This window comes from Homo sapiens, chromosome 6 (genome assembly GCF_000001405.40).
Source record: "Homo sapiens chromosome 6, GRCh38.p14 Primary Assembly".
Classification (NCBI taxonomy): Eukaryota; Metazoa; Chordata; class Mammalia; order Primates; family Hominidae; genus Homo; species Homo sapiens.
In genome coordinates, this window is record NC_000006.12 from 74690740 (window position 1) to 74718439 (window position 27700).

The 27700-nt window shown below is 33.6% G+C and overlaps 1 long non-coding RNA gene across 1 annotated transcript in view; it reads right to left on the reverse strand.

Annotated features, from left to right (window-relative positions):
- Positions 1 to 27700, reverse strand: part of LOC105377858 (uncharacterized) — a 140187-nt gene that overhangs the window by 96561 nt on the left and 15926 nt on the right. The gene's annotated exons all lie outside the window — the stretch shown is intronic.

The window sequence follows — 27700 nt, forward strand, 5'->3', positions numbered from 1 at the left end:
TTTATTCTGTTGAATATTTGCCATATTTCACTTTCCACATTCAGCACTCTGCAATATTTAAAGAAGAAAATAAGTCTCCATATACTGAATAAAGACATATCAAAATTTGTGTGACATCATATTCCTTAGTTACATTTTTTGTTCATTCATTTGTGTGTTTGTTTATGTCACCCACACTAGATCATGGTGGTGTGAACATGGTTCACTACAGCCTCAACATCCTGGGCCCAAGCAATCCTCCCACCTCAGCCTCCTGTGTAGCTAAGACCACAGGTGGGCACCACCATGCCCAGCTACCTTTTAATTTTTTGTAGATATGGGGGTCTCACTTTGTTGCCCAGGCTGGTCTCGAACTCCTGGGCTCAAGCTATCCCCACAACACTTTGGTTTGGCCTCCCAAAGTGTCGGGATTACAGGTGCGAGCCAGTGCACTCAGCCTTACATTTTTTAATAAATGAATTTAAACAAAGAATAGAAACATATTTTTAAACACACCAATTAACAAACCAAAGTGTATTGCAAATTATTGGAAGGGACAGCAGAGTGAAAAAATGTTATCCCACCTGCAGGAGGTGGAAAAGGTGATAATATGAAACAAATATTTCCACCTATCCTAATAGAGTAAAAGATTTATTCTGCTGGATATTTTCTGTATTTTACCTACCTTCCACATTCAGCACTCTGCACTCTCTTGCCCAACTATTCCTTTTAATTTTCCCATAATACAACTTTTTAATATTTTATGTAATATATGTATTTATTTCTTTCTTTTACTAACTGTGTTTCCTACTGGAATGTAAGCTTCAAAAATTCAGAGATCTTTGTCCTTGTTGCTGATATAGCCTACTGTCTAAAAAAAACTTCAGATATTTAATTTTTTTAACTTTTAAGTTCAGGGGTACAAGTGCAAGTTTGTTACATAGATAAACATGTGTCATGGGGGTTTCTTGTGCATATCATTTAATCACTCAGGTATTAAGCTTAGTACCCATTAGTTATTTTTTTCTGATCTTCTCTCTCCTCCTATCCTTCACTCTTCAATAGGCCCCAGTGTGTGTTATTCTCCTCTATGGGTCCATATGTTCTCATCATTTAGCTCCCACTTATAAGTGAGAGCATGCAGTGTTTGGTTTTCTGTTTCTGTCAGTTTGCTAGGGATAATGGCCTCCAGCTCCAACCATGTTCCTGCAAAGGACATGATCTCATTTTTTTTATGGCTGCATGGTAGTCCATGGTGTATATATACCACATTTTCTTTATCCAGTCTATCATTGATGGGCATTTATATTGATTTCATGTCTTTGAGATTGTAAATAGTGCTGCAGTGAACATATGTGTGTATGTGTCTTTATAATATAATGATTTATGTTCCTTTGGGTATATACCCAGCAATGGGATTGCTGGGTCAAATGGTTTTTCTGTCTTTAGGTCTTTGAGGAATTGCCACACTGTCTTCCACCATCTTTATTTCTGCCTTCGTTTCGTTATGTACCAGTAGTCATTCAGGAGCAGGTTATTCAGTTTCCATGTAGTTGATCAGTTTTGAGTGAGTTTCTTAATCCTGAGTTCTAGTTTGATTGCACTGTGGTCTGAGAGACAGTTTGTTATAATTTCTGTTCTTTTACATTTGCTGAGAAGTGCTTTACTTCCAACTATAGCATTACGAGATATACCTAATGTAAATGACGAGTTAATGGGTGCAGCCCACTAACATGGTATACATATGTAACAAACCTGCACGTTGTGCATTTGTACCCTAGAACTTAAAGTATAATAAAAAAGTAAAAAAATAACAGTTACTGGCAAGGTTGTGGAGAAAAAGGAAGGCTTATACACTATTGGTGGGAGTGTAAATTAGTTCCACCAACAGTTTACAAGTGTTCCCTTTCTCCACATCCTCACCAGAAATTTTTATTACCTGTCTTTTGGATATAAGTCATTTTAACGGGGGTGAGATGATGTCAGTGTAGTTTTGGTTTGCATTTATCTGAATAATGCTACATTTTCAACAGACCTCTTCAGAGTGTTTGATAGATCAATGGACTAGCCACCATTCAAACATGCATGCCTACATGTATTCATTCAATACACACCCACCAAGAACTCACTAGAGCTGCACCAGTCATTGCAGTTTTTTCAAAGGCCTCACTAGAATTTAAGCTTCATAATAGCAGAGTTTTTGTCTACTGTATTCAATGTCATCTCTCTGTCATAGAAAATGGTGCCTGGCATGTGGACGATGCTCAATAAATGTTTGTCTCTTGACTGATGCACCGAAGAAATACTACTAGTGTTTTAGGGTTGGATGATAACTAGATTAAAACCGTAGCTCTGAGGCTTGCCATATCTGTGATCTTGTCAAATATCTTAAATCCTCTATACATACACTACCTTATCTATGAATCGGAAATAAGATGCACATAGTTCTTATAAAAATTGAATATGGAAAAAGTATAAAATGCATAACATAGTATACATTTTAGAAAAATGTTATAAAATGTATAACATTGGCTAGAATAAAAGTAAATTCTCAGTAAATTATATCTGTAACTATTAAGGTAGTAAGCCTCATAAAAATATAATTTATTTATAACCATAACAAAAGTGAAGTTTACTACAGCAAAGGTTTGTGCCAATAAATTAAGAAATGCAATTTCCTAGAGTTTTCTCATTGGGTAATTATCAGAAAACCACATTTCTGGAAGGAAGGTTCTCCTGATTTCTGTTTTTTCTTTGTCTATAGAACAGGTGACTAAATTAGTACTTATGATATTTTTAATGCTAAATTTTATAAATACTAGACTTCTGATGATCCCAAATCACTCATATCTATCTCTTTAAACTTCAACAGTATAAGCTAGAAAATGTGTTACTAGTGGTAAAAACCAGTCTCAGACCAAGTGTTGAAAAGTGCCCCCCTCAAAATGTCTTCCCCAGCCTATAGGCAGTATCTGGCCTGAGTCTGGTTACTTGTTCGGGTAGATGATGTCCATCTCATCTAAAGCACTAAAGCTACTTTTTTAGATGGAGTCTCACTCTGTTGCCCAGACTGGAGTACAGTGGTGCAATCTCTACTCACTGCATCTCATATAAGATGTTAACTGAAAGCTTAAGTTGGAGTGTCAGTGACATAGTTTAGACATGACCCTTTCAAGATGGTGTTTGAGTAATTCACATGCAGTAAGTGCTAAGAAAAATAAATAGAAACATTGGGTGAAACATGTCATTTACCCATATGTCAAAAAATTTGACAGTTCTCATGCTTTCCCTAACTGTAGTAGAGATATTTGGTTGGAAGATGCAAACATCAATACCACTGAGAAAAACTAGTTATAACTAGAGAAATTCTTCACAATATTCCATGTGACCACTATTCTTTTCTAACTTAAACTCACATGCAACCACTAAAGAGACTAAAATATATTCTAAAGAGATTTATGAGAAAATTATCACTATTGATTATAAGTGTTTCCTTATTGATACATATATATCCTTCATATCTATATATATGAAGGATACCGGATACCATTAGTTGACCTAGACAACATACTAAAAGCAATAACAATAACAACTGATGATATTTTATGATTTAGCCAGAACTTTTATGTCTGAAAAGATAAATTAAAAGGACTATAGCAATATAGAAACCATCTAAAACTTAATAAAGGAACATAATCTAAAAAATAAAATTTTCCACATAGTTTTTTAAAAGAAAATATAATAATCATATGACTACAATAACACAAGAAGAAATAAAACCACAAAACGATGAGCCACAATTGCAGTGGAAAAACTCTAAAGACCAGAACATCACTCAAAACTGATGATCAACTTCTAAATAAATTAGAAATAGCAATGAACATAATACAGTTGAACTGAAACTGCTTCTAGAGAGAAGCATCAAGATTACCACAGTGTATTCAGAGGAAAAAATAATGCCTATGAAGAAAAGATTCCTGAAATGAAGGAAGAATTGCATCTGCAGAGGAAAAAGCATACTCTACTACAAGAAAAATTAATATGAAGCAATGAATAAACTGTCAGGCATATCCTGGGTGAGTTATGCTACTCCCGAGATATTTATAATAATTCTTCAGGCATCCAAGTAAAAAAGCAACTCATTTATCAGACAAGAGGAAGAAAAATTAGGCTAGCTTCAGACTTTGTCCCAGGCACATTTAACGACAACACAGTGGAGCAATGTGAAGCTTTAGAACACAATTTTATTTTCCACTAGGCAAGTATAAGCCCGGTCTTGAGCTACTTTTTTAGATGGAGTCTCACTCTGTCGCCAGGCTGGAGTACAGTGGTGCGATCTCCACTCACTGCAACCTCCGCCTCTTGGGTTCAAGCAATCTCCTGCCTCAGTCTCCCGGGTATATGGGATAACAGGTGCCTGCCACCACACCCAGCTAATTTTTGTATTTTTAGTAAAGACAAGGTTTCACCATGTTGGCCAGGCTGGTTTCGAACTCTTGACCTCAGGTGATCCACCCACCTCGGCCTCCCCAATGCTATATTTTTAACAGACCCCTTCAGAGTGTGTTTAGCAGTCCAGTGGACTAACCACCATTCAATAATGCATGCCTACATGTATTCATTCAACAAATACCAACAAAGAGCTCACTAGAACTATACTACTCATTGCAGTTTTCTCAAGGATCTCACTAGAATTTAAGCTCCACAAGAGCAGTTTTTTCTATCTTATTCAATATCATTTCCCTGTCACAGATAATGGTACCTGGCATGTGAAGATGCTCAATAAATATTTGCTCAGATGTGTCTGTTGACTGACTCACAGAAGAAATACTAGTTAGTATTTCTTAGTAACACCATTTGGGAGAATCATGTCTAAACTATGTTAACTTACACTTCGATTTAAGCCTTCAGTTAACATCTTAGAGAGATGAGAGGACATCTACCTGAACAAACAACCAGACACAGGCCAGATATTCATCATTGGGGCTGCCTAGAGGCTGGGGAAAACATTGTGAGGGGGGCACTTTTCAACACTTGGTCTGAGACTTGTTTCTACCCAGAGTAATACATTTCCTATCTCATACTGTTGAGGTTTGAAGAGGTAGATATGAGTGATTTGCTTCACAGTGGAGCTAAGGGTGTGGAAAGACCCCAAAGTAATGCATATTATTGTCATGCTGGCATTCAGTATAAAGGCAAGTAGACACTTTCAAATTTTAAAGAATTCAGGGACTAAAGCACTCTTGAGCCCTAGTTGGAAAAAAGAAAAGCACCATGCAAAGAAATCAAGCCAACAAAGTCATGAATGGGAAAGTCTTGGTGACAGTCATGTTCACTCAGTATCATAAGACCATGAAGCAATGTGTATAAAACTCCAAGAGAAAAAAAAGTGCGATCAAATTCTGTATTTGGCCATATTAATGTATTATTAAGGCAACTAGCAAATGTTCTCGAGTCTATAAAGACTCAGGGAATGTTGAAGTTCTCTTCAACAAAAGATGGTTAGATTCAATCAGAAGATTATTTAAACTGAGATCAGAAGTGGAAAAGCCACAGGAAGACTAAATACAATGGAAATCATTAATACATAACAGAATGTAAGCGCTACTATGTTTTTATCAACTTAAAAATTTCTGAATAACAAAATTTACGTTTATTACACAGTGTCAAAGTGGAAATGCAATAATTTCCTCATATTGAAAACTGGGAGCCAATTGTTACTATTCAAAAGTAAAGTGTGTCTTTAAAAAATATGTCTCTAATTTTTTACATGTTTATAATTTTAAAAAACTTGGATGGGCTCTCAGAGATTAATATCTCTTATGCAGAAACATTTATTTGAAGTTCCACTATTACTTTCATTCCCTATTAAATATAAACTTAAAGGTAACAATTTATGTTTTTAAAATAGTATGTACAGTATAATACTATTTTTACAAATATATTTATCTTTCAGTTTATATATATGTATATAGGCATAGATGCCTTGAATTATGTACATCTAGTATTAATGTCTTTCCAGGTGGTATTAGTTTTTTTTTTCTTTTCTGTATTGAGTAAAGTTGTTGTAATAAGCATGCATCATTTTTATAAAGTAATAACATCATCTTTCTAAAAATTTATTTCTAAAGGAACAAGGGAAGAGAACAAATAAGGGAGGTCAGTGACAGCATTAGACCAAACAGCCGCAGGTCTGAAGGTGTCATTTCAGGTTAATCCTGTTTCATTTGCATAGGACTATATTCATCAACATACAGAGCCACCCAGTAAAAGTCACTCCCATTCCTGAGGAAATACATTTCAGATTTTTCTCTGGCACCCAGAGAAATGTGTTGTGTAAAGGCACCAATATCAGCTCTGTGCTATTGATCACATGTATTGATTATATGTCTTTCCTTTGTGCATAGTTTAGCATTATTTATATTTTCTTTGATATTTTGCACCCAGAGAAAATTAATTCATTATTTCAGCAAACATGTATGTATCACTTACAAATATGGGGTCCTAACAGGTGAATGTGACCATCATAAGCTTACAATTTTCTCTGGGAGACAAATACAGTGACAGGCCATGAGGATAATTAATGATTTGCTGGACAACTGAGAAACTGCTAGTTTGAGAAATCACTATTTTCTCAACTTGTACTACTATATCCTTAGTCCCACAGACTGTTCCTTCAAACAAATTAAGTTCAGTGCCAGATGGATATGACGTGATTTATAAAAAATAAAATAAAATCTATTTAGCATGTTTCTATTTAGAAATGTGTTGGGAGTATAAGTTGTACATTATGCATTATTTATATTCTTCCTTGGTAAAACAAAATTAACTTTTTAAAATAATAAATTCTGTGGTTTACCATATGGTATCTTAGAGTCCTTGTTACTATTTGTGTTTGGCGCCATTCAGTTTATTTTTAAATGGATTTTTCCATTGAAAGCTTAAACTGATGTCTAATGGAATTAATGTATGAAGTTAGGGTCAGACAGCACGAATTATTCATTGGATTCTCACACTTGCATTTGTGGTTAAGTCATCATAATATATCATAGTTACCATAGAAAATGTTAACCTAAAACCAATATTTATAACTCTTTTTAAAGTTTCTTTATATGTCATATATGTGTTATAACCTTCCTGGTATAAGGGACAAAAGATTGTTACTTAATAAAATTATATTATAACTTTAAATAAAATATTATCTTTAATGAACACAGAGTTGTGTACGTATACTTTTCTAAGAAATTTTACAATATTTTTAAAGCTTTCAACTTCTTTAAATACTGCTTAAATTAAATATATATTTTAACACATTAGTCTAGAATTAATACTGAATTCTATATCCGTTAAGATTATGCATGAACACAAAGAGAAAAAGTATCAAATTTGACCTGCAATATAAACATTACTAGTGTTGTTTAGGTACATCTCTCTTTTTTTAACTTAATTATTTAATTTGAATTACTATAACTTAGAGTAGTGACATACGTTTAGTTCATTTCTAAGGCATGTGTCTGAAATGGAGTTTACAGGCTATGGGTACCACTGCACTTAGAATAAAATATAAAACTCCTCCTGATGACCTGCCCAGGTTTGTGAGATTTGCTCTCTGATACAGCTCCTCAAGCTTTCCCTCTGCTTGCTACTCTCTAGCCACACTGGCCTCTCTGAACACTGTAAGCTCATTCCTGACTCTCTCCTGGCTCTTCCCTCTGCCTACCAGGTTCTCCTCAAATCACACCATGTCCAAGCTGAACATTAAGGTCTTAGTTCAAATGTTTTGGGGAAAACATTTTCTTGTTATATTTTCTTCATAACCCATTGCTGTTTGAAGTTAGCTTGTTGATGTATTTCTGAGCTCACAAATGATAATCACATGTTGCATCCTGTGTCACCGCTGGGATGTAACCCCCAAGAGACTAGACACTTTTCATCTCTTGGTCTCTCTGTTCCCTATTATCAGGCCAAGGAGTACATCCAAGATGAAATAAGCTATCATCAAATATTTGTAGAGGGAATGAATCAGGATCATCTAGGGCAGAGGTCTGCAAACTTTTTCTGTAAAGGGCCAGATAATAAATAGTTCAGCTTTGTGTCTTTTTAATTTCTTCCTTCCTTCTTTCCTTTCTTTCTTTCTTTCTTTTTTTCTTTCTTTCTTTTCTTCCTTTCTTTCTTTCTTTCTTTCTTTCTTTCTTTCTTTCTTTCTTTCTTTCTTTCTTTTCTGATTAAAAATGTAAAAACTACTTAGGCAGGGCTTACAAAGGTAGGCCATTGGCTGGATTTTGCCCATGGGTCACAGGCCTACTTTCCTGACCCCTAATATAGGTTGCCTACTCAACTGTACATTGCTACTCCAGAACCATGAATTGAAGTCTCTCTAGAAATGGGACCCAGAAATCTTCATATTCTCATGGATCTCAATCCATTTTTAGCCATTGATAAATTTCAGAACTAGGGGATTAAAATGTAGAAAACAAGTTTAGGAAGCTCACCTAGGAAAGCAAATAATATCAATAATATCAATAATACAGTAAATAATATATTTTTCAACAAAATGTTAAATAATGGTTTAATTTTTATAAGAATTATTTATATTCTTATAACTTTTATAAGAATTGTCAATTAATCTAAAGTCTCCCCATCTAATGAGCGGCAGCAGCACTTTATCCACTTTTTTAAGACACCGGGAACTGGAGTTTGTTTATTGTAGTCCATTACAGAAGTGAGTTCTAAAAATGTAAACTTCAATTTCAATGAAAAATTCAACACTTTGTTCTTCATCCATTTTCAGACATTGCAACAGGCACCAGTGCTCACTACAAAGCCAAACCCTTTTTTCAGTAAAGACTGCCATGGAATTGGGTCACTAAAAGGAAAAAGGCTTTTAACAAGACTTTCTTCAAAAGGTTCTTACATTCTATTTCTGTTGATTGGTGCAGCAGTATTTTAGTGAAATGGAAAGTGCAGCTGTGGCTTTTCTTACTTTCTGCATAGTAATCTTTCATTCAGCACAGGACTTGAAAACATTTTTCCTTCTATAGATTTTAGTGGCAAATGTGATTTATTATTTGCTGGATACTAGGGCAAAATATAGAAAGAAAAATAATTAAAAGGAACAACTGTGATCTATTTTTAATGTTTTGAATACATGTTTTACCACTTATATTAAGCCTAGACCATGTTTTTCTCATTTAATCTGGTTTCAAATATGTCCAGTTCAAAGCTTTGTGATTAATAATTTATCGTTCTATTATTTATTTTTATACATTTATTAGTAGTATTTATACCCTTATTACTTACTATAATGCTTATTTTAAACTTTAACTATGTTCCAGGGCTGCACTAAGCACTCCTATACATGGTCTGCTTTAACTCTCTTTTTATTAATTGCCATCCTCATTTTGTGGAGGAAGAAGTCAAAGCTGAAAAAAGATTAGGAAGTCAACCCAGGCCACACCCCTGGTAAGAAGTAGAGCTTAGGGGGTCATTATTTCAGGCAAGTCTGAAAAATGCCAATAGAGAAGGGGAAAAAAAAGAATGAAGCAAAGAATATGAAGAAAAACAAAGGAAGAAAGAAGTTAAATAAGGTGGTAAGGGAGAAGTTGGGAACAAAAAGTGATCGTGGGTTTTTCCATTTGATAAGGCTTCTCAAGATAATGACAAAAAATGAAGAAAAGTATTTCTCTCAAGGCTCTTATCTTCTTCTGTTTAGTGTTTTAACTTCTCTGTGGAAAGTATTATGATGCTGCATGAAATGAGGTGTATATATTTTATTATTTTTTCTAAATTTGGAGTATTTTGAAAATAAAAGACCTTTCCAGACACAAAAAGGAAACCCTACTTAACCAAATCACATTTACTAAACTTCTATCACTTCAAGGTAATTTTTACCCCAGTAAATTACCAATTAAAGGTCAGATAAAACATAACCAATCTGAACCAAAAGTTTCTATTTGATTGTATATTTGATTCTCATTGACTCAACATTCCCTCTTCAAAGGAAAGTTTTCTCAGAAAACAAGAAATTTCTAATAGATTCCAAAACATGGAGTCATAGGGTACTAAGAGCCCAGAACATCATGTAGAAAGTAGATTAAAATATGAATAGGCATGTACATACACATGTCTGCAAGATCATGCAGATGCACACACAAACACACGCAGCTTTCTCTCCAGAAAGTGTTTGAAGTGTTTATTGTGCTGTTGCCATGTAAACATATAGAAACTGATTTCTATGGTTATGTCAGTTGTTTTAAAAAGCTATTTTTTATATTCAATGCCAATTGTTTAAAACTATATTTATTATAAGGTCTAACTCTAACTGCTCTTAAGCAATTGAAGTCTACACCTCTGAGATCTGTTTTATTTCTTTCCAATTAGAATTTTTACCTGATAAAGAGATACTAAATAAGCATCTATCATGCTTATTTAGGCATGATAGATGCCTAATATATCATGACCTACAACTCTCAAGATAAAGTACTTTAGCATCTCAGCCTTTCGGTTCTTTCTAAAATGAGCTTTCCTCAAGGATAGGGACCCTATTGATTCATCAATGCATCTTCTGTACCGTGCAGCATATATATTATTAAATTAATGTACTGAATAAACAAATGAGTACTTCTGATCCTTCTCAATCAAACTCTTCCCCTGTCAAGAATTTTCCTATTTTCCAACTTCTTTCTAGAAAAGGAGTTGCTACTCCAATTGCTAAGAATGTGAAACATTTATTAAATAGGGAATCCTTTCCCCGTTGCTTGTTTTTCTCAGGTTTGTCAAAGATCAGATAGTTGTAGATATGCGGCGTTATTTCTGAGGGCTCTGTTCTGTTCCATTGATCTATTCTATATCTATGTTTTGGTACCAGTACCATGTTGCTTTGGTTACTGTAGCCTTGTAGTATAGTTTGAAGTCAGGTAGCATGATGCCTCCAGCTTTGTTCTTTTGGCTTAGGATTCACTTGGTGATGCGGGCTCTTTTTTGATTCCATATGAAATTTAAAGTAGTTTTTTCCAATTCTGTGAAGAAAGTCATTGGTAGCTTGATGGGGATGACATTGAATCTATAAATTATCTTGGGCAGTATGGCCATTTTTACGATATTGATTCTTCCTACCCATGAGCATGGAATGTTCTTCCATTTGTTTGTATCCTCTTTTATTTCATTGAGCAGTGGTTTGTAGTTCTCCTTGAAGAGGTCCTTCACGTTCCTTGTAAGTTGGATTCCTAGGTATTTTATTCTCTTTGAAGCAATTGTGAATGGGAGTTCACTCATGATTTGGCTCTCTGTTTGTCTGTTATTGGTGTATAAGAATGCTTGTGAATTTTGTACATTGATTTTGTATCCTGAGACTTTGCTGAAGTTGCTTATCAGTTTAAGGAGATTTTGGGCTGAGACAATGGGGTTTTCTAGATATACAATCATGTCGTCTGCAAACAGGGACAATTTGACTTCCTCTTTTCCTAACTGAATACCCTTTATTTCCTTCTCCTGCCTAATTGCCCTGGCCAGAACTTCCAACACTATGTTGAATAGGAGTGGTGAGAGAGGGCATCCCTGTCTTGTGCCAGTTTTCAAATGGTGCTGGGAAAACTGGCTAGCCATATGTAGGAAGCTGAAACTGGATCCCTTCCTTAAACCTTATACAAAAATTAATTCAAGATGGATTAAAGACTTAAACGTTAGACCTAAAACCATAAAAACCCTAGAAGAAATCCTAGGCATTACCATTCAGGACATAGGCATGGGCAACGACTTCAGGTCTAAAACACCAAAAGCAATGGCAACAAAAGACAAAATTGACAAATGGGATCTAATTAAACTAAAGAGCTTCTGCACAGCAAAAGAAACTACCATCAGAGTGAACAGGCAACCTACAAAATGGGAGAAAATTTTCGCAACCTACTCATCTGACAAAGGGCTAATATCCAGAATCTACAATGAACTCAAACAAATCTACAAGAAAAAAACAAACAACCCCATCAAAAAGTGGGCAAAGGACATGAACAGACACTTCTCAAAAGAAGACATTTATGCAGCCAAAAAACACATGAAAAAATGCTCACCATCACTGGCCATCAGAGAAATGCAAATCAAAACCACAATCAGATACCATCTCACACCAGTTAGAATGGCAATCATTAAAAAGTCAGGAAACAACAGGTGCTGGAGAGGCTGTGGAGAAATAGGAACACTTTTACACTGTTGGTGGGACTGTAAACTCGTTCAACCATTGTGGAAGTCAGTGTGGCGATTCCTCAGGGATCTAGAAGTAGAAATACCATTTGACCCAGCCATCCCATTACTGGGTATATACCCAAAGGACTGCTGCTATATACTGGGTATATACCCAAATCATGCTGCTATAAAGACACATGCACGCGTATGTTTATTGCGGCACTATACACAATAGCAAAGACTTGGAACCAACCCAAATGTCCAACAATGATAGACTGGATTAAGAAAATGTGGCACATATACACCATGGAATACTATGCAGCCATAAAAAATGATGAGTTCATGTCCTTCATAGGGACATGGATGAAATTGGAAATCATCATTCTCAGTAAACTATCGCTAGAATAAAAAACCAAACACCGCATATTCTCACTCATAGGTGGGAATTGAACAATGAGAACACATGGACACAGGAAGGGGAACATCACACTCTGGGGACTGTTGTGGGGTGTGGGGAGGGGTGAGGGATAGCATTAGGAGATATACTTAATGCTAAATGATGAGTTAATGGGTGCAGCACACCAACATGGCACATGTATACATATGTAACAAACCTGCACATTGTGCACATGTACCCTAAAACTTAAAGTATAATAATAAAAAAAAAAGAATGTGAAACATTAGTTAAACCACATTCAGTGATGTATCAGTTAACTATACCTTACAGGTAACAAACTTTCCCACTTCTTCTTCCACTATCAATGCATCAGGATCTCTTCTTTTTTTACCTGGACAGGACTTCTTTTTGCTGTGAGAAGTCTATCCCTTTCTCTTTATGAACCAACTCTAAGAATGTGTGGCTGGTTGGGTAGACTTGAGATCTTCCCCATAATCATAGTCATATCACTCTCTCTTTCCATAGGCATGTGTGAGCCTGTGGGTTCCAATATACAGATTCAAAATATTCAGTAGAAAGCCCCAGTTTGGCATGATACTGAAGCCACACTAAAATATCCAATCTTTTCTACAGCTTTGCTTTGTCATATAAAACACTTTCCCAGATACTGATCAAATTGTTGTTTTGTTTCATGCACAACTTTTATTATTTGTGCACCATCTTCCCTTAGTTAAAAACCACAAAAGTGAAGGAAAATTAATGATAGTACCTTTGGAATACTCAAGCTTTACCTTCAAACCTTAACCAATACTTCCTTGTATACCCCTTCACACCCAATGTAGTACTTAAATATTTGTGTAGTACACACCTTATACTTACAATGAGGATTCCCTATTTTTATGAATTTATTTAATACTCAGTAGATATAAGAAAGCAGAAAAAGTTGGTTCCATACTACAGCTAAGGCAGAAGCTGTGTAAGGACCAAACTTAAATTTTAATCTAAGTAATAAAGGTAAAAGGACATCAAGGGGTTAAGGGACAGTGAATGTTGAGAGCATCAGTGTATTGGACATTCCAGGAGAGCTGCTGAATTGTTGGCATGGGGGTTCTGGAAGGAGTGAGCTTAAAAGAGCAAAGGTATTAGTATGCATAGTAAAAATTGTGCAAGTGTTGCAGTCATTGATAATGACAAAGTCTAGGTAATTGTCATGAAGAAAGAAGCTGAGGAAGTGCAGAGTCTGGGAAAAGAGGAGAGGAAAAGTGCTAGAAAAAAATCATCTACTTATATAATAAAGACAAGAATAGTATCAGAACTAAAATCATCAGGAAATGAAAGGCAATTACGGGAGGGTGAAATGGCAGTGAAAGGGTATTAATCCAATCATGTGAAACTTAGGGAATTTTTTTTTTTTTTGAGAAGGAGTCTCACTCTGTCACCCAGGCTGGAGTGCAGTGACGTCATCTTGGCTCACTGCTACCTCCGCCTACCAGGTTCAAGTGACTCTCCTGCCTCAGTCTCCCGAGTAGCTGGGACTAAAAGTCACGTACCACCACGCCCAGCTAATTTTTTATATTTTTAGTAGAGATGGGGTTTCACTGTGCTAGCCAGGATGGTCTCAATCTCCTGACCTCATGATCCACCCGCCTTGGCCTCCCAAAGTGCTGGGATTACAGGTGTGAGCCACCGCGCCCGGCCCAGGGAATGATCTTGAATAGACAAAAAAGATGCCCAGCCAATATTTAGGCATATTTATTTAGGTAGTATAAGCGCTATATGGGAAAAACAAAACAAACAGACAAAAAAAAATGACCCACTACTTACAGAGCTGTAGGAGTCGCAGGGTATTCTAGAGAGAGCCAGGTTTCCACAATGGCAAGAAGGTGAAGGGTAAGTTCAGAGAAGAGGATAAGAAAATAGCAGATTCTTGCTCAAGATGAACTGAGAAATCCAGAGAACACAGAGAGTTTCAGGAGTTGGAGAGAGGAGAGAAAAAGACACCGAATAGAACATGGACAGAGGGGGATCTCTAAGAGCTAGGGCTTATCATGAAGCCTGACAATTTAAAAAGGGGGGCAGAATGAGTCTTGGTCTAGTGGGCTCAAAATAGAGAGCAGTGGCCAGGCTGTTAGTGTTGTGAGGTGAGGAGGAATGGATTTCTGTAGCAACCCCCTTACCCCATGCTAAATGTCTCAGTCCCAGTGTACAATTCACCCTTAACTCCTGATGGGAGAGAGATGACCTGACTTCGGGTGGATATGCCCACCTATGACCTCTATAATAGAATTGAAACTTCTCTAGAAGCCAAAGTCAGATTCCCTTTCCCATGATGCAGTATTCAAAGATAGTGAATCACTCTTCATTCTTTAGTAGCTACATAACTCTGGGGTGGTTAATTTCTCTGAGCCACTGTTTCCTCATATTAAAACATTGATAGAAACTGTGATAATTAAATGAAGTAACATAAATTTCCTAGGTTAGTGCATGGCTCTTAGTGAACATTCAATATATGTTAACTGTCACTGTTTGTTTCACCAAATCTTAAGTTAGTCACTCAGGAAAGAAGATCAAAGCCCTTTGCTTTGTTCCTCTAGTTAAAATTAATTTCTCTCCCATACAGAAATTTAACCACTCATTTCAAGAAGTTAGTTAACTTTTATCAAACATGTCTTGAGTATAAATAATTTGTGTTAGCACCACTACAGCATCTAGGATGGAGAAACGGACTTTTTACATGAAGATGTGTTGATTTAAAACCATTTGGTAATTATTGCCATGTCTGTGATAGTCTTGAATATATTATGTGTTGTGTTTAAACACTCTGTTTCTCTAACAAATGATACTCTATAGACTTCCTGACCTGTGACATTCACAGTGAAGCTAAGCGCTATAGTTCAAAAGCTGTGATTAAAACAAAGCAATAAAAACTATAATTTGTACTTTTTTTATTGGGATATAAATTGGAAAATATATAATGGGGACGACATGAGATCATACTTTTTCCTATGAACAACACAGGAAAATCAGAATAGTGAATATTCAAACCTCTGAAGATATTTGATTTTCCCAATGGCATTTCATGTTACTCTGTCTAACCCATATGTCTAAAGGATAAAGAAATGCTGATGTTATTAAAGAATGTTACTTTTCAAGCAAAATCATGTAACAAACTATAAGAGTTTTTTTAACTATATGTTTTAATAAAATATTTAATAATGCTGAAATTTAAATTCAATATAATTTTTTCCATTTGTACTGTTTTAATGTTTGAGCCTTCACCACCTTATAGTTAAGAATTTCATTATATGTATGAATCCTACCTTTTGGCTTCTGAAATAAATATTTTTACGTAAGTGAAATGTTTTAGGAACATAAATGTTTTGATCATACCCTTTTACTTCCTAAAAACCTTGATTTAATTTAAGTAGGATTTTAACTTTTGAGTCTCTATTCTAATGTATTATTTTCATTATTGTCATGTTTTAAACACAGTTTGTTATAGGTTTTTTTATTCTAGCATCCTTACCTTATCATTGCAGAAAATAAAATACAGAGAAGTGAAGAAGACTGAGAAAATACTTCTCTGCTCACTCACCAATAAAATAATGTTTTAAAATTTTGTGTTATAATTTCATTTTGAATACTTTCTTTTTAAAAATGTTTTATAATTTTCTTGTGTAGTGTTCTGATAGGTTTTGAATCATGCTTTATAAATATGAAAATACTATTATATCATTACTTCCTAACTGAAATGTAAAAAATATAGGTGTGTCATGCAGCAATTTTTAAGAGAAAATGCTATTTACATAGTACTGTTGTTGAAACCAAGTCTGCCCATCCCCCTCAATGTACATATCTCTGATAAAAACCTGAAATCTAGTCTCCCTCCTAACATGATTCCAACTGACAATAAAACTTTTGTGGTGTGGCAAGGGCTTTACTTGAGGGCAAGGACTGTATCCTATACATTTTTTACAGGCCAATCTTTAACCGATAGTTCTGAGTATTTGCTATGTGACAATCACTGTCTACAGTGAAAAACAAATAGAAAGCCTGCTGTGATGTTTCCAACCAAACTGTGGCCCACTATTTTTAGTGTTCACTGCAATATGATACATTCTGTTTGGCTGTTGAATTGAAAACTGTATAATTTTGATTATTTATATAGATAAGCATTTAAAATAACTCAATTCTCATTGTATTTTGATTCTGAGTATATCATGTTCAATAAAGAGATTTTGATTCCAAACTCTGGTTAATACTGTTAGCTGTGAAGGTTTGGACAAACTAATATCCCTTAATCTGTAATCTATTAAATGAGAACTATACCTACCTTATAAATTTGTAAGAACTAATGGGATAAAATATACAACGTTTCTATTAAACTCTTTGTATCAGAGTAATTGCACTTTAAATGCAGGCTATTATTTTTACTATTATTATAACAATAACCTTTTGATCTTTATTAAAGGTCAATAAGGAAGACATATATATATATAAATTTTCCATCAATATTTAAACAAATATTTCTAGATTATCTCAGAAATTTAAATCCATATGAATCTTTGTAGCAGTTACTTAAATTTTTAAAAGCAGGAAAATATATCAGAAGTATCTTAAGTAAAAAGTCTTATTCACTCTCCTTTCTGCTTCACACATACTATGGGAGTATTGGCACACCGCTTTTTAAAAATAGAGCATATGCATGCACTACATTAATAACTTTCTCAGAAATAATCTTGACAAGGATATTTTGGTTCAAAGACTAGATTTTAAAGCAAAGATAATATCTGGGCAAGTAGACAAATTGTACGGATCATGAAAAACAAACAAAGCCCTTTAAGAATTATTTTCTGCAACTTTCTGATGACAAGTATTTTATTTTCAGTTCTTAACACTCAAGTCCACAGTTCCTCATCCACATTCCAAAATCCAAATAGTTCTAAAAACAGAAAAATTTTCCTAACCAATATGCTGACAATACTTGAAATTATCTAAATTCAGTTAGAAGCAAAATTAACAAGAACTTGAGGCTCTAAATAGTATCCATTTGCCCTTGCAAAATAAATATTTATACAATTTAGATATAAATAAGAATAAGGTTAATTATAAAATTCTACTCCATAAATTAGTAGAGATATTAGGTCAAATATGATATCTGCCAATAATTATCTTCCTGAAATCTGGAAATTTTTAAAAATTTGGTTTTATTTTTAATTGTGTATTTTTGGAGTTTAATGTAATGTTTTGATACATATACAGTGGAATGATCAAATGAGGTTAATTAGCATATCTATCATTTCAAATATTTATTATTTCTTTGTGGTGAGAAATCCTCTCTTTTTGAAAGGTACATTATACAGTTATTAATGTAATATTTTACATGTTTTGTAAAACATTTGAAAGGTACATTACATATTATTAACTACAGTCTGTCTGTCTCCAATGGCAGAAGTCAGGTAACGGGGAAGTCAGATAATAATATAATATTAATATTATTAATGTCTTATTATATAACAAAAAGTTTTATAATCTATAAATAGCACACTTCTATTTAAAAATTTATTATACTATGAGAATATCTTATTATTATGGAATGAAGAAAATGCATTTCATGAATTATAAAATCATTAAATAGCATTTAAAACAGGACTTTTCAAAATCAGGAACAAAGCTCTATCAAAAATTATCTTTCTCTATTTGTAATAATTAAAATTGGTACTTTCTATGCTGTAACAACAAACTGATAAGCTTCCCCTATGTGTTTTAGTTTTTTGCTCTAGATCCTTTCACATAGCAAAAATAAAATTTGGTAACTTTTAAATAGTAAACTAAAATCATCCCTTCAGTTGTAGCATCAACTGTAAAATGCAATATATATAAAATGAGTTTCATAGCCTAAGATTTAAAGTTGCTACTATTAGCAACATCGTCTTACTGTAAATTAATTAATGTAATTTTGTATATTCCAGGTCAGATGTTTATCAAAGAAAATGAACCACTTTTATGTCACTACACTAATAAAATCAAATGTAGAGGTTTTTTTTTGGCTTCACAGTGGCATTTAAAATGTGAGTGTATTAAAAATTAGATCTATACACACTGTTTTATTTTTGTATTTTATTCTCATTTTGTCAATGTAATATTTGCTTATCGTATAAAAATTAAATAATACTAAAAATTTTGCAAACAATTTAAGCAGTCTCTCACCCTTAAATGATCTCACTTTCTATCCTCCTGCTTTCCAGTAACAAAAACTTTTAACTCTTACAGGTTTTTCCTCTGTAGTTGTTTCTGATTACAGAATACAATACAAATTATATATTAAAATATATGCATTAATATATACATATAAATATGTAAAAATATAGACATATACATATGATTTTTGCTTATTTTAATTTTTGTCAGCATATTTCTTTGTAATATAAATATAACACAGATCACTCCTGAGCCAAGTGTTATACCATGATTATAAATCATCTCTTGTACAACTTATATTAATTTTCCTGGAATTATTCATTGCTCTATTACTCTCTTACACATTATTTCATTTTCCCATCAGATTGCTCACTATATGTGTGACCAAAGTCACCACTTTATGCTACTAGATTCCTTTTTCCCAGATTCCATGTCTTCTCCCTTCTTGGTTCTCCTTTCATTTTGCTAGCTTTGGATATAGGAGATAGCATTTGAGGTTCTCATACCTGAAAATGGCTTTATTCTACTATTTTATTTGACAAGTCAATTTACCAGATGCAGAATTCGAGATTTCAAGATATTTTCTCTTAAAATTTGAAGGCATTACTTGTATCTGCCAGTAATTTTTAACTTGACATGGAGTCAACGAACCGCCAGCACCAACGTCATCTCTAATCTTGTCAAAAAAGATCTCTGGTTCCACCTCAAACCTACTGGATTGGAATCTGCATTTTTAACCAGATCTGTAGGCTGTAAGCACATTAACATTGGAGAAGTGCTGGTCTAACCTAGTGTAACCTAGTGTTGCTATTCCTGTATGAGGAGGCTTTTTCCTCTCTGGAGACTTTTGTGATTTTTGTCTTCATTAGAAATATTGTATTAAACGCCACACGATGGCTCATACCTATAATCCCAGTACATTGGGAGGCCAAGGTGGGCAGATCCCTGAGGCCAAGAATTCAACCAGCCTGATCAACATGATGAAACCCCATCTCTACTAAAAATACAAAAATTAGTTTGGCATGGTGGCCCAGGCCTGTGACCCCAGCTACTCAGGAGGCTGAGGCCAGAGAATCACTTGAACCCAGGAGATGGAGGTTGCAATGAGCCGAGACCATGCCACTGCACTCCAGCCTGGGCGACAGTGAGTCTCTGTCAAAAAAAAAAGAAAAGAAAGAAAAATAAATACCATGCTAATAGTGCTAATATGCTTGCTGTGTGTCTTCTTTCATTCATTGGGCTGGAGATGCAGTGGGTCTTTTAAACTTGAGACTCATGTTCTTTCTTTTGGGGAAATGTCTTTGTTTGTTTGTTTTTTAGGCTATCCAAGTGATGCAGTGGGACTTGTATTATTTCTTAATAATTTCTTCTTCACCATTTTGTCTCCTAACTGAAGTTACTCTTAAATGTATTTTGAGCCTCTTGGACTGATCTGCTAAGTCCATATTTTTAATCCCCATTTTCTCTCTTCTCATCTTTCTTTTTTCTTTCTAGGAAACTTGTTCCACGGTCATCTTCCAATTCCATTATTAAACTTCGTGTATCATCTATTCTCATTATAATTTCAGTGAGATTTTGTCTTCTAATAGTTACTTTTAGTTCTCATTGTCCGGAATCTAGTTATAGGGCATACCTACTTTCAAGAAATACTGTATTTTTTCAGCTAGGGAAGTAGTGTGACCTGCTAAAAATCAGTATTCTGTTACTAAGGAGGGGGAGAAAGTATAATGTGGATGACAACTAGATTCCTCTATAACAAGTTCCAAACAATTAATTTAGATAAAATAATAATGCAATTACAATTGCATTATTTGGTTTGGTTTATATCAGTAGGCCTTCCTGTCATGAAGTAGAATAAGTGATGAGAAGTACGCATTGGAGAAAATTTATGTTAAATAGGATAATTATTGAAAACAAATACATCTGACCCAAATACCTTTTTGACTTTTAAATTCAGCACAAAACTTCAATTTAGAATTAATCAACCCCATAACTCCTAAAATATATGATGTGTTAATATAATAAAATTATGCTTGTAACAAATTACAGTCAGAGGTCTAATTCTTACTTTAAAATTGTAGTAAATTGCACCAGTTACTTTTATTCCCCTGATCAAAGTCTGCCTTTTTTTTTAATTACTGAAAGCATCATACACTTGCTCAGATTTTAGAAGGACATAGTAGGGCTGAGGAAGGAAGGATAAGCCGTCTGACAAGTTTTGTCAGCCAAACCAACCTTCCACATCCATGTGATGATGGATACCATAGTCTCTTTCTCCTCATTTTTTATGAATTTATTTAGATTCTATTTCTACCCTTCCTTTTGGTCAGCTCTTGACTGAAACAATATAAATCTTAGAAAAACTTGTATTAACATTAAAAAATTTGCCAGATGACAATGAAACAATTCTATGATCAGAAAACTTAAACTTCTAATTGAGGAGACAGTATTAGTGGAAGATGCAAATCTTCCACATCACTTGATATCTTGTTCCTGAATATAAAGCCCTCATTGGATCAGCTAGAGAATATTTGTTAAATGTTTATTGAGTTACTTTAACTATATTGAATTAATACTGACATTTCTATCTATTAAAATATTTAAGTTACAAGTGTAAAACCCAAAACTATAAAAAACCCAGAAGAAAATTTAGGCAATACCACTCAGAACATAGGCAGGGGAAAAGATTTCATGACAAAAATATCAAAAGCAATTGCAACAAAAGCAAAAATTGACAAATGGGACCTAATTAAACTAAAGAGCTTCTGCACAGCAAAAGAAACTATAATTAGAGTGAACAGATAACTTACAGAATGGGAGAAAATTTTTGCAATCTATCCATCTGACAAGGGTTTAATATCCAGAATCTACAAGGAACTTAAACAAATTTACAAGAAAAAAACCAACAATCCCATAAAAAAAATGGGCAAAGACGCGAACAGACACTTCTCAAAAGAAGACATTTACGCAGCCAACAAACATATGAAAAAAGGTCAGCACTGATCATTAGAGACATGAAAATAAAAACCACAATGAGATACCATCTCACACTAGTCAGAATGGTGATTATTAAAAGTCAAGAAAAAACAGATGCTGGTGAGGCTAGGGAGAAATAGGAATGCTTTTACATTGTTGGTGGGAATGTAAATTAGTTCATCAATTGTGGAAGACAGTGTAGCGATTCCTCAAGGATCTAGAAACAGAAATACTCTTTGACCCAGCAATCCCATTACTGGGTATATACCCAAAGGAATATAAATCATTCTACTATAAAGACACATGCACAAATATGTTTATTGCAGCACTATTCACAATAGAAAGACAGGGAATCAACCCAAATGCCCATCAAAGATAGACTAGATAAAGAAAATGTGGTACATATACACTATGGAATACTTTGCAGCCATAAAAAGGAACAAGATGATGTCCTTTGCAGGGACATGGGTGGAGTTGGAAGCCATTATCCTCAGCAAACTAATACAGGAACAGAAAACCAAACAATGCATGTTCTCAGTCATAAGTGGGAGCTGAACAACCAAGAACACATGGACACAGGGAGGGGAACAACACACACTGGGGCCTGTGGGGGAGCAGGGAGAGGGAAAGCATCAGGATAAATAGGTAATTCATGTGTGGCCTAATACCTAGGTGATGGGTTGATAGGTGCAGCAAGCCACCATCGCACAAGTTTACCTGTGTAGCAAACCTGCATGTCTTGCTCGTGTATCCCGGAAATTAAAATAAAATTAAATATAAAAAATAAATTAAATAAAATATTTAAGTTAGAAGAGAATGCTGGCTGACAGCAAATATGAAATAACTTGAAATTTAAAGAAATCTAAAAAATTAATTAGTATAAGTTCTCAATATGCTTACTTTATATCTGTCATTGTTATATTTAAAACTTGTATGCTCTTTCTCTCAAAATACATAAACTCCAAAAGGTTAGAAATTATATTCATAAAATTTAACTTTACTTAGACTCTCTTTAAAATATAGTATAGCTCACATTGTGGAATGAACAAATCAGACTAATTAACATATTATATCATCACTGTTCAAATTATGGCAAATGGAATTAGAAACCAATTTTAGTGACTAAGCATTTTGCAAAATAAAAATATTTTTTGTTCACCAACCTAGTCTCCTAATGTTTACATCACTAGAAAGCACCAGAAGTTTTGAAAAATTTTGATCTACATTCGATCAAATTACAAGCAATTCATTGCAACAATAAATTAATTACACCCAAACCAAAAAATAAATATAGTATAGTTCACTTATATTTATAATGTATTTCTGTATGACACGTCATTTATTATCTATTCTATCATCTTTTTTTGTTACAAATCGAATGATGTAAATATGAAAGACTCATTAATATATAGCTATTTGATCCTTTCCAGTTTTTTTTTTTTGAGACATTTAAAAAAATAAAATAACTAAGAGAAACAGCAAAATTTAACTGGGTTCATCCATATTACTGGAAACTATTGCTTTTGGCCACTGCAATTAAAACTAATATTTGTGACTGCCAGAAATAATGAAGTTTTGGATTTATGATGAGGAACTGAGAGTTATACCCTATTTTATTTTTAAAGGTGAAAGATTTACAGTCAGTGGGGCTTGAACTGATGTGGCTCATTCATTCCAGAAATGTGGGAGTGAAGGAATGTGAATGCAAGGCCAAAAATGCTATTGTGTCCAGGTGGAAGTGAAACAATAAAAAAAAGAAGCTACTAATTGGATGATTTTTTGTAAAATGCTGTGTGTAAAATGCATAAAACCCTCAACTTTTCATTAACAAAATCATAAAACTTAAGGAAGAATTACATATTTATATCATTATATTCTTAATCTTTATTTTCTCTGCAGATATTAAATCTCACAGAAAGGTGTTCCTTATTAATCTTTACAAAATTGTCATTTCCCCGGTGAAGCCAATTTACATTAAAAATAATGTTCAGAAAATGCTGCTGCCTGCTTTCTCTCCTCTTTTACCCACCCCTTGTTCTCCCAGCAATCTTCGCCCTGTATGTTTATGTGGACAATTTCTATTGTAACATTCTCCATTCCATTAACTCTGCCTCTTCCTCTGAGGGGGGAAAATAAAACCCTAAATGGCTCTAATAGTTATGTATTTTATTTTGTCTCAGAGGTTTCCAAACTTCTGCTTTTAGCTTCCTTTTCACTGGGACAAATGGATGTAAGTTATTTTCCAGTTTCCTGAAAAATAATCAGGGACTATTTTCTTCATCTATCTCAGGTGCTTCATGAGTTTCCTAAGATATTAATTACGGTTTCCATACATTCAGAATCAAGGGACTCACGGATATGGTACTGTGTTCACTGCTACACAGAGTTTTTCTAGAAAAAAAAATTCTTTATTTTTATCTTCTATTTGTATCCAAACGATGGTAAAACAAAATTCCTCTTTAGCTAGGTACTGGGATTTTTTCTTTAGGAAATACTAATAGAGTTACAAAGGTTAGCTTATAGGTAGACAAAGACATAGGCATAGACATAAGCATAGATATAGAGATACAGTATTTTTGAAACCAATAGTCAGCAATACACTGAATTCTGGCACATTATTTCAATAAAAAGTTTATGAAAGACTTAAAAGAAATTTAAAATATTCCTATCAAATTGAACATACATTTATATTATTATTAATAAAAGTTTCCCTCTTCCATTTGTTTTAAATTTACCTACATTATTTTTAACACTAAACTTTAAATGAGTATGTAAAATTAAAATTCATATGCATACATGTACATATGACGTTAGTATATTGAAATTAGCATATTATAAATTTAATACTGAAATATGCTAATTTCAATATACTAACGTCATATGTACATATATAACATATTTCTTTGAATAGTCTTGATATTAGCATATTTCAATATACTAATATGTTTTTCTGGCACCTTTTGTTTTTTACCTTCTTCCTAGTTGATTACATGTGTCCTCCCCAAATAGAGAAAGCTAAGCTCCAAGAAAGAGTGTGGCAAAATGCAGAGAAAAAGAGAATTACATCCTGTACAGTCCCCAAGATAAACAAGAAGAGCTGCCTGCTTAACAATTCATGTCCAGTCTCAGAATTGAATGCATTTTTATTCTTGCATTATATGAGGTATCCCCACATCCTGAAAATCAATGGCTTATTTTCACTTCAAAAAATTAAATATTGTACCATGAATTTTGACATTAATACTAAAGATTTTTTAATTTTTCATTGTGGTAAAATACACAGAACATAAAGTTTACCATCTTAGCTATACTTAAGTGTACACTTCTGTAGTGTTAAATATAATGTTGTGAAACCATCACCATCTCCATGACTCATCTTGCAAAATTGAAACTCTATACCCTTTAAACAGTAACTCCTCATTCCTGCCTCTTCTCCCCTGATAACTACCATTCTTCCTCTCTGTGATTTTAACTACTCTAAGTACATGGTATAAGTGGATTCATACAGTATTTGCCTTTTTGTGACTGGTTTATTTCACTTAGCATTATGTTCTCAAGGTTCATTCGTGTTGTAGCATATATTAGGATTCTTTTCCTTTTTGAGACTAATATTCCATTGTATGAATATACCACATTTTGCTTATCTATTGATCCATCGATGAATACTTGGGTTGTTTCCACATTTTAGTATTGGGAATAATGCTGCTACAAACGTACAAACATGGACATACAAATATTTCTTTGAGATCCCACTTTTAATTCTTTGAGTATATAACCAGAAGTGGAATTGCTGTATGAAATGTGAATTCTATCTTCAATTTTTTGAGAAACCACCATACTGGATTCCATAGCAGTTGGACCATTTTATATTTTCCACCAACAATGCTCAAGGGTTCCAGTTTTTCCACATCCTCACCAACACCTGTCATTTTCTGGATTGTTGATGGTAGCCATTCTAATGGGTGTGAAGTGACATTTCATTGTAGGTTTGATTTGCATTTCCCTAATAATTCATTATACTGAGCATCTTTTCATGTCCTTATTGGCCATTAAACATCATCACTGGAGAAATGGTTATTTAAGAATTTTGTCCATGTTTGAATTGGATTGTTTAACTTCTTTTTAGTTTTAGGATTTTTCTGTATATTCTATATATTAACCTCTTAGATATGTGGTATGCAAATCCTCTTTTCTATTCTTTTTACTCTGTTGATGCACAAACATTTTTAATTTTCATGAAGTCCAATTTGTCCATTTTTCTTTTGTTGCCTGTACCTTTGATGTCATATCTAAGAAATTATTGTCAAATCTAAAGTGGTGAAGATTTTATCCTAGGTTTTCTTCTATAATTGTTATTGTTTTAGGTCTTAAATTTAGGCACTTGTTTTATTTTGAGTTAATTTTTGTATATGGTATTTGGTAAGGGTACAGTTTCATTTTTCCTCATGTGGATATCCAGTTTTTTCATACTATTTATTGAAAAGACTGACTTTTCCCATTTGAATAGTCTTGGCATCCTTGTCAAAAATCATTTGACTGTATATGCCAGGATTTATTTCTGGGCTTGTTATTATATTCTACTGGTCTACATGTCTGTCATTATGCCAGTACCATACTGTTTGGATTATGGTAGCTTTGTAGAAAGTTTTGAAATCAGAAAGTGTGAGTCTTCCAACTTTGTTACTCTTTTTGAAGAATATTTTGCCTATTTGAGGTCCTTTGGGATTCCATATAAATTTTAAGATGAGTTTTTCTATTTCTACAACAAAACACCATTGGGATTTTGATTAGGATTGCATTGAATTTATAGATCACTTTGGGTAGTATTGTTATCTTAACAATATTAAATCCTCAAATCCATAAATATGCAATGTGTTTCCATTTATTTATGTTCTCTTTAATTAATTTCAGCAATGTTTTACAATTTTCTTGGGACAAGTCTTTCATGTCACTTAGCTAACTTATAAATAATTCCTATTTCATTCTTGATATTATAAATGGAAATTTTCCTAATTTCCTTGTCACATTATTCAGCACTAGTATATAGAAATGCAACTAATTTTTGTGTTGATTTTGCATCCTGATATTCTACTGAATTCATTTATTCCAAAAATTGTGGAATCTTTGAGTTTTTACATATAAAGTTATATCATCTCTAAACAGAGATAACTTTTACTTCTTTTTCTTGACTAATTCATCTAGTTAATACTTCTATTACTATCTTGAATATAAGTTGCAAAAGTGAATATCCTTGCCTTGTTCCTAGTCTGAGAAGAAAAGCTTTTAGTCTTTCACCATTGAGTATGATGTTCACTGTGGGTTTTTCACATATGGCTCTTATTATGTTGTAGTTGTTTCCTTCTAGTCTCATTTCACTGAGTGTTTTTATTATGGAAGGGTGTTGAATTTTGTCATATGGTACATCAGTTTCAATGATCATGTGGGTTTTTTATTTTGTTAATGTGGTATATTACCTTAACTCAATTTCATATGTTAAGGAATCCTTTCATTCTAGTAAATAAAGCCTACTTGGTCATGGTGGGTATTTTTTAAATATGCTGTTAAAATTGTTAGCATTCTGTTGAGGAATTTGTATCAATATTTACAAGGGATGTTGTTCTGTAGTTTGTCTTTCTGGTAGTGTCTCTGTCTGGCTTTGGTATTAGATCAATACTAGCCCTATAGAATGGGTTAGAAAATATTTGCTACTCTTGAATTTCTGGAAAAGTTTGAGAAAGATTTGTGTTAATTCTTTTTTAAAATGGTAGAATTTACCAGTGAAGTAATCAGGTCCAGGGCATTTCCTTGTCAGGAGATTTTTTCATTATTGATTTAATTCCCTTACTAATTAAAAGTCTAATCAGATTTTCTATTTATTTGCTACTTAGTCTTGGTAGGTTTTGTGTTTCTGTGAATTTGTTAATTTCATTTAGGTTATCCAATTTTTTCGGTATACACTTGTTCACAGCA